Consider the following 19,938-nt stretch of genomic DNA (forward strand, 5'->3'; position numbering starts at 1 on the left):
GATAACAAGTGTTGGTGAGGATGTAGAGAAATTGAAATTGTCAAACTTTGTTTGCTGGTGGGACTGTGAATGGTGCAACCAGTCTGAGAAACATTTCGATAATGTCTCAAAAGATGAAACTTAGGATTATTGTACTATATGACTCAGAAATTCCTCTCCTAGGTAAATATCCAAGAGAAAGAAAAATATGTCCATACAAAAACTTAAACACAGATATTCACAGCAGCATTATTCATAATAGCCAAAAAGTAGAAACAACCCAAATGTTCATCAGCTGATGAGTGGACAAACAAAATGTGGTAAATACATACAATGGAATATTATTCAGCCATAAAAAAACACGAAGTATTGAAACATGTTACAACATGGATGGACTTTGAAAACATTATGCCAAGTGAAAGAAGCCAGTCACAAAAGTCTACCTATGGTACAATTTTGTTTATATGAAATGTCCCGAAAAAGCAAATCTAAAGAGACAAAAAACAGATTAGTGTTTGCCTAGGGCTAGGGTGGGGGTGGGAGGTAGAGGGCAGTGTGGAGTGATTGCTAATGGGTACCCAGTTCTTTCTAGGGTGATAAAAATGTTCTGAAATCAGATTGTGGTGATGGTTGCGGAACTCTGTGAGTATACTAAAATCCACTGAACTGTAGACTTCAAGTGGGTGAATTTTATGATATGTAAAATATATCTCAATTTAAAAAAATGAAATCAAGGTAAAAATGATAGAAACAGTTGTGTTCTCAACAACCAGGAGCAACTTCAGTGAACATTTGCTGAACACTTACTATGTGTGTGAGAGGGATACAAAGGCAACTAAGCAAGGCCTCCATCCTCAAGGAGTTTAAAATCCAGTGTATTTATGTGGTTCAGTGAAGGTCAATGAATATTTTAATTGCCAGTGTGACCAGAATTAAATAAAGAGCTGTAATACATAGTATTTGCTTAACACTCAATGCCTTTAAGGACTGTGCTACATCTAGGGGTAGAGTTTGCATGTCCTGGTCCACTAGAGTCACCCAGGCTTTTGGGTGAGAGAGAAGGAACTAGGCAAAAGCTCTACACTAAAGATAAGAGCAGGTGCCAGGGGGGTCCATCCACACTAGAAACAGATGCTGGGTGGGGAATGGAATTAGAGAAGGTTCTCTAGGGACTGAGAGTTAACAAGGTGAGAGGTAGAAGGCAGTACACAAAAGCCCTGAAGCATCAGAGAGAATGGCAGAAGACACAAATGGAGGGAAAATGAGAAGATATTAACTCAGGGGTAAGGTTGATGTTAGTGGGGACACCAAGGGTCCTAGAAGTCACATTACAAAGTTTAAACTGAGGGCCCTGAGGAGCCATTGAGGGTTTTAAATCCCAGGAATGATCTGATCTTGTTTTAGAAAGATCTCTCTGGCTGCTCTGTGAAGAGATGCATTAAATGGGAGCAAGACCAAGAATGGAAAGACTGGTCTTCCAGGAGAGTGGGGATAGGATTAGGATCAGTGGTGGCAGTGAGCTTGCAATACTGATTGGGCAGTCATTGAGAGGAAAAGACGTCAAGGATGATGTCCAGGTTTTGAGGCTGAGTGATGCATGGCAGGTTGTCCAGGCCATGGAAGCAGCAAACATGGATAAGGGGCTGGATTCTGGTGGGGGCCATGGTAAATGGGACATATTCTTCATATGAGTGGAAAAGACCACAGGCAATGGGATAGGCAAAATTGGAGCTTCCCTCCTGGAACTTTAAACGCCAGTGTCAAATCCTTTCCTTTGCCACCAGATTGTGTAATTGGGTTCAGCTATACTTTCCTTGGCCAACTTCTGTCTCAAAAACTCAGACTACACCAACATTAAATTGTGCCGATAAATCTTACTGAATGCTTTTCAGCTTAGCTTAATGAAAAATATCAGCTAACAGACTAGGGGAAACACTCTCCCCAGGGGACTTCATGATCCAGATTCTGGTAGAGCCCGGGACACTAGCTCTTTATAAGTTTCTCCAGGCTGGAGTGAATGAGATATCATTGTTGTTTATTTCAAAGGCACATGAAGTGCACCAGTGGTCTAAATCAGTATTCCTCATGGACACCGCTACATTGGTTAGTTCAACAACTAAAATAACTACAGAAAAAGAAATTCACTTCTTTTGAGTTAATCTTTTGGAGTTACACAGACTACTACTTTAGAAACCATCATAGGTTTGTAAACCAGAACAGGCCCTCCAATCCTAATGGAATTATTGATTCTCAAGTCAAATAGAGTTTCAGGACAACTCTTAATGCATTTATTGATTGCTAATGGGATCAAATTAACATGAAAAAATAATTGATAAACACATCCTAAAAATAAAGTTACATCTGAAACCATCTGTTTCCTAATGTGGGATTCTGTCAGTGCAAAATTCCCTTAGAAACCTGAACTTTCTTTGACCTGATGGAAAGTAGCCACGTCAGCATCGGATGAAAGACAGTATGATATGCATGTCCAAAAATAAACAATTGCTGTTAAGTGCATTTTAACCTCAAAGGCCTCAAAAGAAAAAGCAACTACCATGTCTACTGATAACACAAAAGGAATTTAGGAGAAACATTGCAAACGTAGAAAACAAATTGTTAAGTCATTCTTATCTTTGTCTGAAACTGGCTGTGGCCCAGAAGCCCAGCTTCTCTTTCTCTCAGCCCAGAACCCTTCCCCAAAGCTCCAAGTTCATAACTATATTGTAAATAGATGAAATGTGTCAGCACCTAAAGACAGCAATGTCAGTGCAACCTGCTAACACTTCAATGTGAGAGGCTGTACGTTTACTGTATTCCTCAAAACACAGGCTCATGAAATGACTTTGAGAAAATGTATGCATTTCCCTCATTTTCAATAGTGTAAAATAATGTCATTTAATAATGCTTGTTTATATGCCTAAGTAGAACTTTAACAAATTCAGTTTTATTATATTGTTTAAAACTCAAATCTCACATCTTCACATCTTTATGGAAATTAATGGCAATAGTTTACAGCATTTAACAAAGTACAGACTGCAACCATGGTGGTTTAATTGTTATCTCGGGCTGTCTCAGGTAGTGATGGAGTGGGAAGACCAAGCAGTTTCTTTTCTTACAGTTTGTTGTCCAAGCACTAGGCAGGACCGTGTTTTAATTACAGACTGTTTTTTAAATAATGAAACCTAACCAAACATTTGTTATGGCAATTGCATGGCAAGGAAATGCTTTTAAAAGCCTCATTTCCAGGTTTAATTTTATTTGTATCTTGAGATAACTTTATGGTGAAATACATTTGCTGAGTGGGAAGTTCCAGCAGAGAACAAATGTCTACTTACCCAAGTGTTGCTCTTCAGCCAACATCTCATAATCAACTTATAGAAACCTCTCAAGTGGAAGGGTAAGTTGGACCTTTACCAGATAAAACAAGGAACTCACAATGGAACACAGACCTCAAGGTAGAAGCTATAGCACTCTTAGAATAAAACATGAGAGTAAATCTTCTGTACCTTGGATTTGGCCGTGGACTCTTAGAGATGCCATCAAAACCACAAGAAGTAATACAGATAGATAAATTGGACTTCATCAAAATTAAAAATTTTTGTGCATCAACAATGTTATTAAGAAAGTAAAAAGAGGGGGTGCAGGGGAAAAGCATCAGAATAAATAGCTAATGAATGCTGGGCTTAATACTTAGGTGATAGGTTAATAGGTGCAGCAAACCACCATGGCACACGTTTACCTATGTGACAAATCTGTGCAACCTGCACATGTACCCCAGAACTTAAAATAAAATAAAATGTTTAAAAAAGAAAAGAAAGTAAAAAGAAGGCAGGCACAGTGGCTTACACCTGTAATTGCAGCACTTTAGGAGGCCAAGGTGGGAGGATTGCTTGAAGCCAGGAGTTGGAGATCAGCCTGGGCAATGTAGTGAGACCCCAATCTTTACAAAAAAAAAATTTTTTTTTTAATTAGCCAGATGTGGTGGTGCTCACCTGTAGTCCCAGTGCCCTGAGGAGGGAGGATGGCTAGAGCCCAAGAATTTGAGGCTACAGTGAGCAATGATCACACCACCACACTCCAGCCTGGGTGACAGAGTGACACCCTGTCTTAAGAAAGAGAGAAAGAAAGAAGAAGGAAGGAAGGGAGGGAGACCCTGAAGGGGAGAGAATAATTACAAATCACCTGTCTGGTATCTAGAATATAAAAATAGTTTTTATACTTCAAAAAGACAATTTTTAAAAACAGGCAAAGCACCTGAGTAGACATTTCTTTAAAGAAGATGTGCAAATGAAAATAAGCACATGAAAAGATGCTCACCATCATTGGTCATTAGGAAAATGCAAATCAAAACCACAATGAGATACTACTTCATACCACTAGAATGGCTATAATAAAAAATAAATAAGTTGAAAATAACAAGTTTTGATGAGGATATGAGGAATTGGAACCCTCATACTTGGTTGGTGGGGATGTAAAATGATGCAGTTGCTGGGGAAACAGTTTGGCAGTTTATCAAAAGTGAAACACAGAGTTAAAACATGACCCAACAATTCTACTTATAGGCATATATCCAAGAGAACTGAAAGCAGGTGTTCAAATGAAAACTTTAACAAAAATGTTCATAGCAGCTTTATTCAGTGGTCAAAAAGTGGAAACAAACCAAGTCTAAGCTAAATGTAGTATATCCATACAATGGAGTATTCTTAAGCCATAAAAAGGGATGAAGGCGGGCACAGTGGCTCATGCCTGTAATCCCAGCACTTTGGGAGGCTGAGGCAGGCAGGCAGATCACTGAAGTGAGTGGTCAGGAGTTCAAGACCAGCCTGACCAACATGGTGAAACCCCATCTTTACTAAAAAAAAAAAAAAAAAAATTAGCTGGGCATGGTGGTGAATGCCTGTAATCCCAGCTACTTGGGAGGCTGAGGCAGGAAAATCACTGGAACCCAGGAGGCAGAGGTTGCTGTGAGCCGAGATGGCACCACTGCATTCCAGCCTGGGTGAGAGAGTGAGACTCCATCTCAAAAAAAAAAGTTGGGGGGTGGGGATGAAGTGCAGATACATGCATAGATACAAATGGATGCTGAAAATATCATGTTAGATGAAAAGAAGCCAGAGACAAAAAGGCCACAGAGTATATGAGTCCATTTATATGAGTTGTCCAGAATAGGCAAATTTGTAGAGACAGAAAGCAGATTAGTGGTTACTAGGGGTTGGGGGGATGGGGAAATGAGGAATAACTGTTTAGTGATTACAGGCTTTCTTTTTGGGGTGATGAAAACATTCTGAAATTAGGTAACGGTGATGGTTGTATAACCTTGTGACTGTACTGGAAGCTGTGGATTGTAAACTTTAAAATATGGTTAGTTCTCATTTATAAGTGGGAGCTAAACATCAAGTACTTATGGACATAAAGTTGGCAATGATAGATACTGGGGACTACTAGATGGGGAGAAAGGCAGAGGGCAAGGGTTGAAAAACTAACTGTTGAGTACTATGTTCCGCACCTGTGTGACAGGATCCTATATACTCCAAACCTCAGCATTGCACAATATACTCAGGTAACAAACCTGCACATGTACCCCGAATCAAAAATTAAAGTTGGAAACATTTTTTAATAATAATAAATTATGATTTATTTATGTTTCATGATATGTGATTTTTTTCTCTCAATTTAAAAGCTGTATTTTCCAAAACCAAAAATAATTAGTGAGAAAAGTGGCATGGTTTTATATTTTTGAAAAATCCCTTTTACATATGACTTACTGGGAGAAAGTTGGATGTTCATATTAGCTTCTGCATTGAAGCTGTGGCAATGTATTTTGGTTGAAGTATATGAAGAAAATCCAGCTTCCCACAGATGTGTAGTTGGAAAAAAAGGAGATTTTAATAGGCTTTCCAGATCATTGTGGATGTTCATCTTTGATACACCAAAATTCAACAAGTGATAGTTTTTTAGAGGTTAGTTATAATGTGGAGTCTGAAACCAAATCAATTAACTTTTCATATTCTATGATATTAAAATCCATTGGTTCATCTTGCAAAACTACAAAAGTGGAAGGGTGCGACTGAGAGGTGGTGAAACATTTTTCTTTGTAGATACAGAACACTGAATTGCTCTAAAGAAAAAAATGGAAAAGGACAAATATTATGTCTAAGGTATTATTTAATGATTAGCAATGGGGTTATTCAGCTTTGAGGAATCATTTAGGTTGAATGCCATAAATACAGCTGACCCTTTATATATCCATGGGTTTGGCATTCATGTATCCAATCAACTGTGGATCAAAATATTCCCCCCAACCCCGCAAAATCGATGGTTGCATCTGTACTGAACACGTACAGACTTTTTTCCTTATCATTATTCTCTACACAATACAACTATTTATATAGCAGTTACATTGTATGAGGTATATGAGTAATCTAGAGACAATGTAAAGTATACAGAAGGATGCTGGGTGCGGTGGCTCATACCTGTAATCTTAGCACTTTGGGAGGCTGAGGCAGGAGGATCACTTGAGGCCAGGAGTTCAAGACCAGCCTGGTTAACATACTAAGACCCTGTCTCTACAAAAAAATTGAAAAATTAGCCAGGTGTAGTGGCATACACCTGTAGTCCTAGCTATCCAGAAGGCTGAGGCAATAGCATCGCTTGAGCCCAGGAGGTCAAGGCTGCCATGAACCATGATCATGTGACTACACCCCAGCCTGGGCAGCAGAGTGAGATTATTTATTTATAAATAAATAAAGTCTACGGGAGGATGTGTGCAGGTTATATGAAAATACCACACCATTTTATATAAAGGACTTGAGCACCCATAAATTTTATGGAATTATGGGAATCCTAGAACCAATCCCCCATGGATGCTGATGGACAATTATATTAAGCTCTCTTCTATATGCCAGGAATTTGACTAGATGATAGGATAGGGTGTGAAAGGAAAATGGTAGGAGAGTGCACGACATAAACCTTTGCCTGCTACAAAAGTTTGCCAAGCCAGGCTGGGTAAAGGCTGCTTTTCTAGGACTGGACTCGTGATAGAAGACTTTATAGCCCAGCTGGCCTACACTACCAGAATGCAGACTTCGCCAGGGTAATGCTGGGGTGCCTGTGTCACACTGACTTACCAACACAAGATGTGCTCAAAAAATATTTGAACTTTACTAAATTAGGAAAAGCATACACCAGTAGAAATATTTTTCTTTATTGTTGCTTGACTCAAAACATTGAAAGGTCCTTTAAAAAACCTGTAATTTAGCTTATTCCATAATTTTAATGAGTCTTTTTATATCATTGCGATTATACTATAGCCTTGTAGCTTTCTTTTGTCATGTAATCCCATAATCTAAGAATTTCCTCATGTTAATAAAAATTCTGTCTGCTTGAATTTTAAATCCCTCCCCCGCCCCCATCAAGGCCCGTTTCTGTACCTGCTAGTACAACCCAGAGTGCAGATTCCACTAGAAAATCCCCACAGTTCTCATACATGTCTGTTAGGACCCCCAGATTTCAAAAATCACTTAAAAAACACCACAATGGGGCCAGGCACAGTGGCTCATGCCCGTAATCCCAGCACTTTGGGAGGCCGAGATGGGTGGATCACTTGAGGTCAGGAGTTTGAGACCAGACTGGTCAACATGGTAAAACCCTGTCTCTACTAAAAATACAAAAATTAGCTGGGCATGGTGGTGCACACCTGTAATCGCAGCTACTTGTGAGGCTGAGGCAGGAGAATCGCTTGACCCTGGGTGGCAGAAGTTGCAGTGAGCTGAGATCGTACCACTGCACTCCAGCCTGGGTGACAGAGCGAGACTCTGTCTCAAAAAAATAATAAAATTTTAAAACCTCAATCTTCTATCACACCATGTGTCCTGCATTGTTGTTTAATGGTGTCTTTGGTGGCCAGCCTGGGAAGGAAGGCCAGGCTGGCCAAGTAGAGTAGGGATGAACCGGACTCACTGTGGAGAAACATCTAGACCACTTCTATGGGTTCAAATCCATCCATACTATGGACTACTTGGACCGCAGACAAGGCACCTAATCTCTTTGTGCCTCAGTTTCCTCATCAGTGAAAGGAGGAAAGTGATGATTGTTCCTACCTTGTTGGGCTGAATAGATGCATGTAGAGTGCTTATTAATAGTGCTTGGCATGTAACAAATGCTGGCTGTTATTATTAATGAGAATCAGACAGCCCTGGGTTGGAAGCTCCTCTTTCCACTTGCCCCTGAATGTCACTGGGTACCTTGTTTAACAATTCTCAGTACTTCCATTTTCTCCCCAAATTCGTATTGTAAGACCTGTCTCACAGGGTTACTGTAAGGATTGGCATTTGAATGAGCTCTGTGCAAAGCAGCTACAAAGCATGCTCACAGTGGGCACACAGGAAATAGTTATGTCTTAGGCTTCTTAACAAGCCCACCACACTCAACATCACAGAGCAGGTGTTTGGCGAATTAAAGAGAGAGGTTTGGGGATGGAGGATTTTCCGGGCAGGAAGGGAGGCACAGGTGCTGGCATTTGGATGTTTCCCTGCTAGGGTCCAGGTTCTGCTGAGTGGAGAAGCCCCAGGGATCCCCACTACCCCAAGGCCCATCAAGGCGAGAGGGACCACCTGAGCCAGCAGATTGAGTTTTCTTAATTTGTTTCTAATCACATGTTCTGGCTGGAGGACTTTTCCTGCTGTGGTAGGGTGGGAATGTTTCCATGAATGTTTTACCAGAAAGATCTGGTTCCTCTGTTTAAACAAATATTTATCACTTGTGAAATCACAGAAATGGAAGGCTTTGTATGAAACAGGCACCCCAGGCAGTTCCCAACAGGAGGCTCCTTTGCAGAGTCTTCCTGGGAGACTCCTGCCTGGCTGGCCCGGGGTCCCTGGCAGTCGGCCCCACTCCTGCCCTTTCCCTGCAGCATGGTAAGTTGTTCAGCAAGCTCAGCTGTTGTAAAGTGCCTGAGTGCCTTGGGAATTAGGAGACGGAATGAAGAGAGTGAGTTGATGTGTAAGTCTGGTACTCAAATAACTCAGGAACCATTAAAACATGACTCAAGAAACACATCTGTCTCTGTGAGGCAGGCCTGCCTCCTTCTCCTCCAATCTCTTCATGCCTCACTCATCTCCATCTTGGGGCAGCTTCTTTCCTGTATTTCACCTCACTTCTGGCACTCTGTCCAAGTCTGGGAGCTCTCCTTTAATACTCTTGGACCCAAGTTATCTGCCTAGGCTGGAAGGCAGCCTCTCTCAGACAAAAGCTATGTCCTCAACTCCCTGAAAATGCAAATCATGGCCCCTCTGCATTGTCACAGACTATGACTCCACCTCTCCCCACTTCTAAGGACTCGGCTCTCAGCTCACCTGGACTCAGTGGGCTCCTTTGCAGTTCTCTCTCGCTCTCATGCTGCTTGCCTTTGCTTGTGGATGCTAAGGTGTTAGAGAATTCGCTGCTGCCCTTGCGTCCTGCCTTGCAAACCCTAGCATTGGTTTTTCTCCATCACATACTCCACATCCATTTTTGGTTACATGTGCCCCTGCCGCCTTGAGCCAATAACTGGTAAATCATTATGAAGATTTCTTTTTATTTTGCTTCTTCTTTTTTTTTTTTTTTTTTTTTTGAGATGAGGACTCGCGTCATTGCCCAGGCTAGAGTGCAGTGGTACAATCAAGGCTCACTGCAGCCTTGACCTCCCAGGCTCAAGTAATTCTCTAGCCTCAGCCTCCCAAGGAGCTGGGACTATAGACATAAATAACAATGCCTGGGTAATTTTAAACTTTTCTGTAGAGATGGGGTCTTGCTGTGTTGCCCAGGCTGGTCTCAAACTCCTGGACTCAAGCAATCCTCCTTCCTCAGGCTCCCAAAGTGCTGGGATTACAGGCATGAGCCACTGCATCTGGCCAATATTTGTGAAGATTTCTATGGACAAGATGCTGTACTAGTGGCCCAAGAATGGCAGGTTATAAGACTTGGCTTCGGCTGGGCACAGTGGCTCACACCTGTAATTCCAGCACTTTGGGAGGCTGAGGGGGAAGGATCACCTGAGGTCAGGAGTTCGAGGCCAGCCTGGCCAACATGGAGAAACCCCAACTCTGCTAAAAATAAAAAAATTAGCCAGGCATGGTGGCACATGCCTGTAGTCCTAGTTACTCGGGAGCCTGAGGCAGGAGAATTGCTTGAACCTGGGAGGCGGAGGATACAGTGAGCTGAGATGGCACCACTGCACTCCAGCCTGGGTGACAGAGTGAGAGTCTGCCTCAAAAAAAAAAAAATCACTTGGCTTTATCATCAAACAGCTTCTGAGCTGACTCACGGCCTTCTAGGCTGTAAGTTAGGTGCCACTGAGTGCATTCATAATGGCAACCAGGAAGGACTGTTCTTCACTGGCATGCTCAGAGAAGGCTTCCCATACGAGGCGGGGGTTTGAATTTAAGGCAGGACAGTGGTTCTCAACCTATTTTATTATATTTCATTTTATTTTAGGTTCTCAACCCATTTTAAAGAAATATATGTGCTGGGGTCATAACCCTAGAAATATGATACCTAGCAGCTCCTCCCTCTCCCCCTCCCCCCTTCCTCATCTGTATCCTCCTCCTCCTCCTCCTCATCTGTATCCTCCTCATTCTCCCCCTCCTCCTTTTTCTTCCCCTTTCTTCTTCTCCTTCATTTTTAAGTTTAACAGATAACTGAGTTAGGTAATCAATATTGAGAACTATTGGTTTTGGCCAGGCAGAGATAAGGAAGATGGTTTTGATGTTGGAAACAGGTTTATCCAATGAAGACAGGCAGGAAAGTACAAAGCTTATTTATCTGGGGGAGGGTGGACAAGAAAAAAACTAGCTTGGCTGGTATATTAGTGCTTGAAAGGCAGCTCAGAAGTTTGGATTCTATACTTTATGCAAAGTTGAGCCATTAATGGTTTTTTTGTTTTGTTTTGTTTTGTTTCCTTTTTGAGACAGGGTCTCACTCCATCGCTCAGGCTGGAGTGCAGTGGTGTGATCTCAGCTTACTGCAGCCTCAATTTCTCCATGCTCAGGTGCTCCTCCTACCTCAGCCTCCAGAGTACCTGGGACTACAGATGTGCATCACCATGACTGGCTAAATTTTTTTGTATTTTTATAAAGACAGGGTTTCATCATGTTTCCCAGGCTGGTCTCGAACTCCTGAGCTCAAGCTATTCACCTGCCTTGGCTTCCCAAAGTGCTGGGATTACATGTGTGTGCCACCGCGCCTGGCCTCATTGATGGTTTTTGAGGAGGGGTGAAGATCTAAGGAATACAAAGTGTTTCTATAACAGGCACTTGCTCCACCTAGAATTACCTCTCTCCTTACACTTGGAGGAGGTACACTGCTTTCCCTTGTCCAAAAGTTCCAGTCTGTTTTGTAAATTGTAGCTAAAATTAAAACTAGATGTCCCCATTGAACCCTGCCCCAGAATGAGTGGCAATGATTATATTCACTGTTTTTTTCCCATGTCCTCTGAAAGACAATCACAAACATCAGTCTGATGTTGTTACATTTCCCAAGGTTTCAACCATTTTATCATGTCTGTGGTGAAGTAGTTCATTTTCATAGAATTGCAGGTAAAATTGTTGGAACAGCAAGAAAGAAGGGACCAATGTATGAGATACAGCAAGGGAAGAAATGTAGGACTTATTGTCTCACTGGATTGGGAAGAAGGCAGCAAGGATCATATATAAGTAACTCTTGAGAAAATAGGGAATTTTTAATGGCAGAGCAGCTGCCTTCAAAGATTTGAAAGTTGTCAAAAGGTAGAAGAACTAGGCTTATTGTATGTATCAGTAAGCTTCTTCAAGAAGTAATGGCACAGGGGCTCATGCCTGTAAACCCAGCATTTTGGGAGGCCAAGGTGGGTGGATTGCTTGAGCTCCTAGGAGTTTAAGACCAGCCTGGACAACATGGTAAAACCCCCTCTCTACAAAAAACACAAAAATTAGCTGGGCATGTTAGCACATGCCTGTAGTCCCAGCCACTTGGGATGCTGAAGTGGGAGGATTGCCCGAGCCCAGGAGGCCAAGGCTGTAGCGAGCCATGATGGTGCCACCACACCCCAGCCTGGGCAACAGAGCGAGACAGACAGAAAGGAAGGAAGGAAGGAAGGAAGGAAGGAAGGAAGGAAGGAAGGAAGGAAGGGGGGGAGAGAGAGAGAGAGAGAGAGAGAAAGAAAGAAAGAGAGAGGAAGGAAAGAGAGAAAGGAAGGAAGGAAGAAAGGAAGGAGGAAAGGAGGAAAGGAGGAAGGAAGGAAGGAAAGAAGGGGAAGGGGAAGGAAGGGAAAGGAGGAAGGAAGGAAGGAAGGAAAAAGAATAGGAAAGGAAAGGAAAGAAAAGAAAAGAAAAAGAAGTAGTAACCGTATAAGAGAATTCAACTAGATCATGGGAGATAAGATAGGACGTTGTAGGATTCCAGGTCCTAACAGATGCTTAACATGCAGAGTCAGCCATCGCTCTAAGCAACAGCCATTAGTAGCAACAGCATCTTTCATTTGTATAAAGTCAGATATTAACCTTTTTTGGACACAGCACAAAACAGCACAATCTGGGCTCTAGAAGTTGCTGATGGACCAGGAATGGTGGCTCATACCTGTCCCAGAACTTTGGAATGCCAAAGCAGGGTTACAGGATTGCTTGAGGCCAGGAGTTTGAGACAAGCCTGGGCAATGGAACAAGACCCCTGTCTCTACTAAATTTTTTTTTTTTTTTTTGAGACGAAGTCTTGCTGTTGCCCAGGCTGGAGTGCAGTGGCTCGCTCTCGGCTCACTGCAGGCTCCGCCTCCCGAGGTTCACGCCATTCTCCTGCCTCAGCCTCCCCAGTAGCTGGGACTACAGGCGCCTGCCACCTCGCCCGGCTAATTTTTTGTATTTTTAGTAGAGACAGGGTTTCACTGTGTTAGCCAGGATGGCTCAATTTCCTGACCTCGTGATCCACCCGCCTCGGCCTCCCAAAGTGCTGGGATCACAGGCGTGAGCCACCGCGCCCGGCCTAAATTTTAAAAATTAGCTGGGAATGGTGATGCCACCCGTAGCCCTATGTACTTAGGAGGCTGAGGCAGGAGAATTGCTTGAACCCTGGAGTTCAAGGTTATAGTGAGCTATGATTACACCACTGCACTCCACCCTTGGCAACAGAGCAAAACCCAGTCTCAGTTGAAAAAAAAAAAAGTTACTGGTGAAAAACGTATTACTTAGGCCCTCTTTCCTCCTTCAACCTAGTAACCCAAATGAGCAAATGCATTATCCAAAAGAAAATACATATTATATTTACACAACATAATCTTTCCTCCCTGAAAATTAAAAATCCCTTTTTCAAGCCCTTCTCACTGTTATTCAGAATGTATCATAGTGTTCTATTCTCTCTAGAATCAAGAAAGCCCCTTGGGACAAGTTAGATGCTCAGCAATGTCTACTGGCTCTGCAAGATCTCCTGAAGAATGAGACCTTCAAGACATAAGTGGGCTCATAGAAAAAATAGAAAGGGCAGCTTGATGGCTGTCTACTGGAATATATGCAGAGTTCTCATCAGGAGGACACTGAGCAAACGGCCTTCATCATTGCTAAGAACAACAGGAAATAGCCTTAAGTTTAACAGTGAGGTTAAAATGACCCTCAGAAGGATGTAATAAAATGTTCTTTGTAAATCTCTAAATAATGTAAACCTCTTCCTCGAGATTGTGTTAAACTGAACCTCCAAAGGCTACACCTTAGCTCTATAATTCACTCTCTTTATGACACCTTTGCTAGACTGTGAGTACCTCTAGAGCAAGCTGCTATTGTCATCATTTCTGTGTTGTCACTGCATCCCCAGGATCAAGCATAGTGCCTGGTTCACAGTAGGCACTCACTGAGCATTTGATTTTTTTAAAAATGGATGTATTTCATTACCTACTGCCTGAGAGTACTGCATAGCTTTCTTTTTCTTTCTTTTTTTTTTTTTTTTGAGTTGGAGTCTCACTCTCTCGCCCGGGCTAGAGTGCAGTGGCGCAATCTCAGCTCACTGCAACCTCCATCTCCCGGGTTCAAGCAATTCTCCTGCCTCAGCCGCCTGAGTAGCTGGGACTACAGGCGCATGCCACCACGCCCAGCTAATTTTTTGTATTTTAGTAGAAACGGGGTTTCACCGTGTTGCCCAGGCTGGTCTTGAACTCCTGAGCTCAGGCAATCCTCCCGCCCCAGCCTCCCAAAGTGCTAGGATTACAGGCTTGAGCCACTATCTTGGCAGCTTTTTTTTTTTTTTTAATGAAAGTAAGGAAGTAGCCAAAAAGAAAACCCCTAGCACCACCAATCTCCCCACATAATATGCAGTTTGGCAAATAGAGAAGAACCTTGGATCCCAGTGAAGAGATATGAGGAGGTGATCACTGGGAATGTGGAGGCTTGGAAATGGGCCAGAAAAGTCCGGGCAGTTCCAGAGTTCTGCCTGCAGACGATTAGAGCAATAAATGGAGTGTATGCATCATTAAAATGAACTACAAATGAGAATCTGAGATAAGCTGACATTCAAACTCACTTAAACTTTGTACTTACAGAATGAACATTTTGCAAATAGCCTCGGGGTTACAGTTCTCTTAAACTTTTCACATTATTGCTGTAAGATGTGGTGGGCCTGAAATACCACAATGGCCTGCTGATTGTGCCAAAAAAGCAAGTGAGGCAGATGCACGAGGAAGGAGGGGTTCGCCTTCTTTCTCCCTGGTTGCCAGTTTATGAGGACAGGCTGTCTTTTAAAATGGAAAAAATCTAAAAGGAAATTTTTTTAAGCAAAAATAAGAAACAGGATATTTGGAAAAATATGTATATTAAGGAAAGCAAAGGAAAAGAAGGCACAAATAAGAATAAGCGTTCCAGGAGCTTCTTAAGAGGAGGGCCTTTGAAGCCCTATTTGAAAAAAACAATAAAAATGTAACCACAGAGCAGAGGTCTTTGGGAGTCTTGAAACATAAAGATATATCTAAGTCTTATGAGGGCAGCATGGTGTTTTGTGTTTACATTTTGCCAGGGATATAGCTTTCCCATGAATTCTTCCTTATCTTGAGGAGAAACACTATCTACAAACAGGCAAAACCCAATTATGATTATCACTTAGAAAGTTGTGCATTGGTGAACTGTTGGTCATAGTCAACCCGGTTACCCCTGCCCCACCAAAAGCCTTTCTTCCATCAACTCCAGATAGCAGCCAAACAGGCTATCACCTTCTCAGCTTTCATCTGCACATGAATCCTTTTTAATCTCCATTTCCCACCATTCACAAGACACTAAATTTTACCTCTGACTATTTTTTGCATGAACTTACCAAACATAATAAGACACAAGCATTATCAGTCTCCAAAGAACTCGAGCCAGCCTAGAAAGTCTCTCCAGAAATACCACAAAAATCTATTGGTCCATTGCTGTATACTCCAGCATTCACCATAAGTAACACCGTTAGTTTTTCTGTTTATTTGTTTCTGGCTTGTTTTTTTAAATTTATTTTTATTTTTTATTTTCCATAAGTTATTGGGGTACAGGTGGCATTTGGTTACATGCATAAGTTCTTTAGTGGCGATTTGTGAGATTTTGGTACACCCATCACCCGAGCAGTATACACTACACCATATTTGTAGTCTTTTATCCCTCGCTCCTCTTTCAGCCTTCCCCCTAAGTCCCCAAAGTCCACTGTATCATTCTTACGCCTTTGCGTCCTCATAGCTTAGCTCCTACATAGTAGTGAGAAAACATGATGTTTGGTTTTCCATTTCTGAGTTACTTTACTTAGAATATTAGTCTCTAATCTCATCCAGATCACTGCAAATGCTGTTTAATTCATTCCTTTTTAAGGCTGCATAGTATTCCATGGTGTGTGTGTGTGTGTGTGTGTGTGTGTGTGTGTGTGTGTGTGTATGAGCAAATGCATTATCCAAAAGAAAATACATATTATATTTACACAACATAATCTTTCCTCCCTGAAAATTAAAAATCCCTTTTTCAAGCCCTTCCCACTGTTATTCAGAACGTATCATAGTGTTCTATTCTCTCTAGAATCAAGAAAGCCCCTTGGGACAAGTTAGATGCTCAGCAATGTCTACTGGCTCTGCAAGATCTCCTGAAGAATGAGACCTTCAAGACATAAGTGGGCGCATAGAAAAATAGAAAGGGCAGCTTGATCTCATATATATATATAAAATATGTAATCATGGTATATATATAAAATATATATATAATCATGGTATATATATACATAATATATATAATCATGGTTCCATGATTTTTGCTGAATTGTGCTGCTATAAACATGTGTGTGCAAGTGTCTTTTTTGAATAATGACTTGTTTTCCTCTGGGAAGCAGGATTGCTGGATCAAATGGTAGTTCTACTTTTAGTTATTTAAGGAATCGCCACACTGTTTTCCATAGCAGCTGTACTAGTTTACATTCCCACCAGCAGTGTAAAAGTGTTCCCTGTTTACCGCATCCATGCCGACATCTACTCTTTTTTGATTATGGCCATTCTGGCAGGACTGAGGTGGTACTGCATTGTGATTTTGATTTGCATTTCCCTCATCATTAATGACATTGAGCATTTTTTCATGTTTGTTGGCCATTTGTATATTTTCTTTTGAGAATTGTCTATTCATGTCCTTAACCTACTTTTTGATGGTATTGTTTGTTTTTTTCTTACTCATTTGGTTGAGTTCACTGTGGATTCTTGATATTAGTCCTTTGTCAGATGTATAGATTTTGATGACTTTTCTCCCACTCTGTGGGTTGTCTGTTTACTCTGCTGACTGTTCCTTTTGCTGTGCAAAAGCTCTTCAGTTTAATTAGGTCCCAGCTATTTATCTTTGTTTTTATTGCATTTGCTTTTGGGTTCTTGGTCATGAAATCCTTGCCAAAGCCAAAGTCTAGAAGGGTTTTTCCAATGTTATCTTCTAGAATTTTTATAGTTTCAGGTCTTAGGTTTAAGTCTTTGATCCATCTTGAGTTGATTTTTGTATAAGGTGAGAGATTCTTATTCTCCTACATGTGGCTTGCCAATTGTCCCAGCACTATTTGCTGAAAAGGGTGTCCTTTCCCCATTTTGTTTTTGTTTGCTTGGTCGAAGATCAGTTGGCTGTATTTGGGTTCATTTCTGGGTTCTCTATTCTATTCCATTGGTCTATGTGCCTATATTTGCACCAGTACCATGCTGTTTTGGTGACTATGGCCTTATAGCATAGTTTGAAATCAGGTAGTGTGATGCCTCCAGATTTGTTCTTTTTGCTTAGTCTTGCTTAGGCTATGCGGGCTCTTTTTTGGTTCCATATGAATTTTAGAAGTGTTTTTTCTAATTCTGTGAAGAATGATAGTGGTATTTTGATGGGGATTGCATTGAATTTGTAGATTGCTTTTGGCAGTATGGTCATTTTCACAATATTGATTGTACCCATCATGAGCATGGGATGTGTTTCCATTTGTTCATGTCGTCTATGATTTCTTTCAGCAGTGTTTTGTAGTTTTCCTTGTGGAGGTTTTTGACTCCTTGGTTAGGTATATTCCTAAGTTTTTTTTTTGTTTGTTTGTTTTTTTCAGCTATTGTAAAAGGGGTTGAGCTCTTGATTTGATTCTCTGCTTAGTCATTGTTCATGTATAGAAGAGCTACTGATTCGTGTACGTTAATCTTGTATCTGGAAACTTTGATGAATTCTTTTATCAGTTCTAGGAGCTTTCTGGAGGAGTCTTTAGGGTTTTCAAAGTAAATGATCATATTGTCAGCTAACAGTGACAGTTTGACTTCCTCTTTACTGATTTGGAAGCCCTGTATTGGTTCATTGCTGTATACTCTAGCATTCACCATAAGTAACACCGTTATTTTTTCTGTTTGTTTCTGCCTTATTTTATTTTATTTTTTATTTTTTTGAGATGAAGTCTCTCTCTGTTGCCCAGGCTGGAGTGCAGTGGCATGATCTCGGCTCACTGCAACCTCCACCTCCCGGGTTCAAGCAATTCTGCTGCCTCAGCCTCCCGAGTAGCTGGGACTACAGGCACACACCACCACACCCGGCTAATTTTTTGTATTTTCAGTACAGATGGGGTATCATCATGTTGGCCAGGCTGGTCTCAAATTCCTGACCTCTAGCGATCCACCTGCCTTGGCCTTCCAAAGTGCTGGGATTACAGGATTACATTTCATGTACCCAGCCTACATGAAATATCCTTTCTGAGGGTTGAGCTTGGCACACAGACAGGGCCTGGTGAAATGGTGGGTGGGGACCGAGGGGCCTCACCACGGTGTCTTTTGATGGCCTGGCTTTCTTTGCTTTGATGTGCACCGGTTCTTCAGGCCTGGCTCAATGTAGTCCCCCTGGTTCATGTTTAGAAGGCAGACTTTCTCAGTGTCTCTGTCCAAACTCTAACAATCTAAACAGCATGGCTCTCCCATGGCTTTTCTTCTTTGAGGTGAGAAGGCCTGAACCATAGCCTTCTATTCTGGTCCAGACAGCTGTGGATGGCCAAGGCGGGGAGGATAGGCGGGTTCTCTGAGGAGGGGATGTGGGTGGGGAGTAACTGGTATCTCTGCTACAATTCCCTACAATCTCCCACTCTGTTCTGGTCTATCTGGGTAATGAGCAAATTTCTGCTCCTTATCATCTTAGACTTTTAATCTTAATAATTAACGCAATTATCTGCCAAACTACTTGTCAAACAGATTCTGTGAGAATTAGTGTCTAATTATTCTAACCTCTGGTTATTCACTCTAGAAAATGACAAGCTCTGGGAGTACCTTTGGGGTTAGGTTCTTTCAGGGCAAAGATCTTGATAGAAAGACAGAGCAAAGTCCTTTTGGGTGTGGTTCTGTGTGCAGGTCTAAATATAGTTGCTTAGAATGGGCCTCAGGAAAATCCTGAAAGTGGGTGAGGTTTCTGTGTCTTCTTCTGGAACCCCTCTCACGCTTCCTGGCAAGTTATCCTGAAGACTTCCATTTGTATAGAGCTTTACAGTTTGCCAATAACTTGACGTAGATTATCTCCTCTCCTACTCACAAATACCCTGAGGAAGGTATCATTACCATCATCATTTTATAGCTGAATTACTTTATCATTTTATAATCAAAGATACTGGGCTCATTCAACAAATATTTATAGAGTAAACCAGGTGTCAGGCCCAGTGGAAACACAACGATGAAAGAACAATACCCAGGTCCTCCCTTCAGGGAGGCCAGCAGAGAATACTAATCTCAAGCAGGAAGTGACAGCACAGCACTAGGCTAGGATGCCTCGTAGAAGGACCAATGATCCCAGAATGGAACAGCTTTCTGCAGGAGTCATTGCCTGATTTTTTATAGGACCATGGTTAGTAAGATAACAAGAGCTACAGGAAAAGCATTCTAGGCCATCCCGTTCATTCTTATTTGACCTCTCAAAAAGGAGATCTACCAATTCAAATGAATTTCCAATGGTGGCATATTGGATCTTAAAACCAAAAGAGGTCGTTGGAGCAGGCAGTGTGTGGGGTAGTGTGGGCCCAGACATGTCCTCCTGCAGTCCCCAGGTTGGCTATGCCTCCTTGCAGGGACTGCAGACCAGCCTCTGGGACACTTTGCTGAGTAGGCCTGACAACTGTGGCCTCCTCTTCTGAGGCAGAGCATGCAGTAACTCCTCATTCCTCCCCTCAATGAGAGATCTCATTACACCACATAGAGGGCAGCCCTTCTGGAAGTGACAACCAGGGAAACGGAGTCAAAGCTCTTCAACTGCAAAGGCGTAGTCTAATACACACAAGTACCAAGAAGTGTTACAGGTTGAGCATCCCTAATCCAGAAATCCAAAATCTAGAAAGCTCCAAAATCTAAACTTTTTAAAGTGCTGACATGATGCTTTGCTTTCTGATGGTTCAGGGTATACAAACTTCGTTTCATTTCCAAAAAATTTTTAAAATATTCTATAAACTTACATTCAGGTTGTATGTATAAGGCATATATGAAACATAAGTGAATTTCAT

The 19,938-nt window shown here is 41.8% G+C and overlaps 1 long non-coding RNA gene across 1 annotated transcript in view; it reads right to left on the reverse strand.

Moving 5' to 3' along the window:
• Nucleotides 1–400: 400 nt before the first annotated feature.
• Nucleotides 401–19,938, reverse strand: part of LOC124900191 (uncharacterized) — a 115,042-nt gene continuing 95,504 nt past the window's right edge. Inside the window, exon 5 of the long non-coding RNA XR_007058832.1 lies at nt 401–3,387. This is a non-coding gene — a long non-coding RNA (uncharacterized LOC124900191). The remainder of the gene's footprint in view (nt 3,388–19,938) is intronic.

The sequence above is a fragment of the Homo sapiens genome, chromosome 5, assembly GCF_000001405.40.
Source record: "Homo sapiens chromosome 5, GRCh38.p14 Primary Assembly".
Classification (NCBI taxonomy): domain Eukaryota; kingdom Metazoa; phylum Chordata; class Mammalia; order Primates; family Hominidae; genus Homo; species Homo sapiens.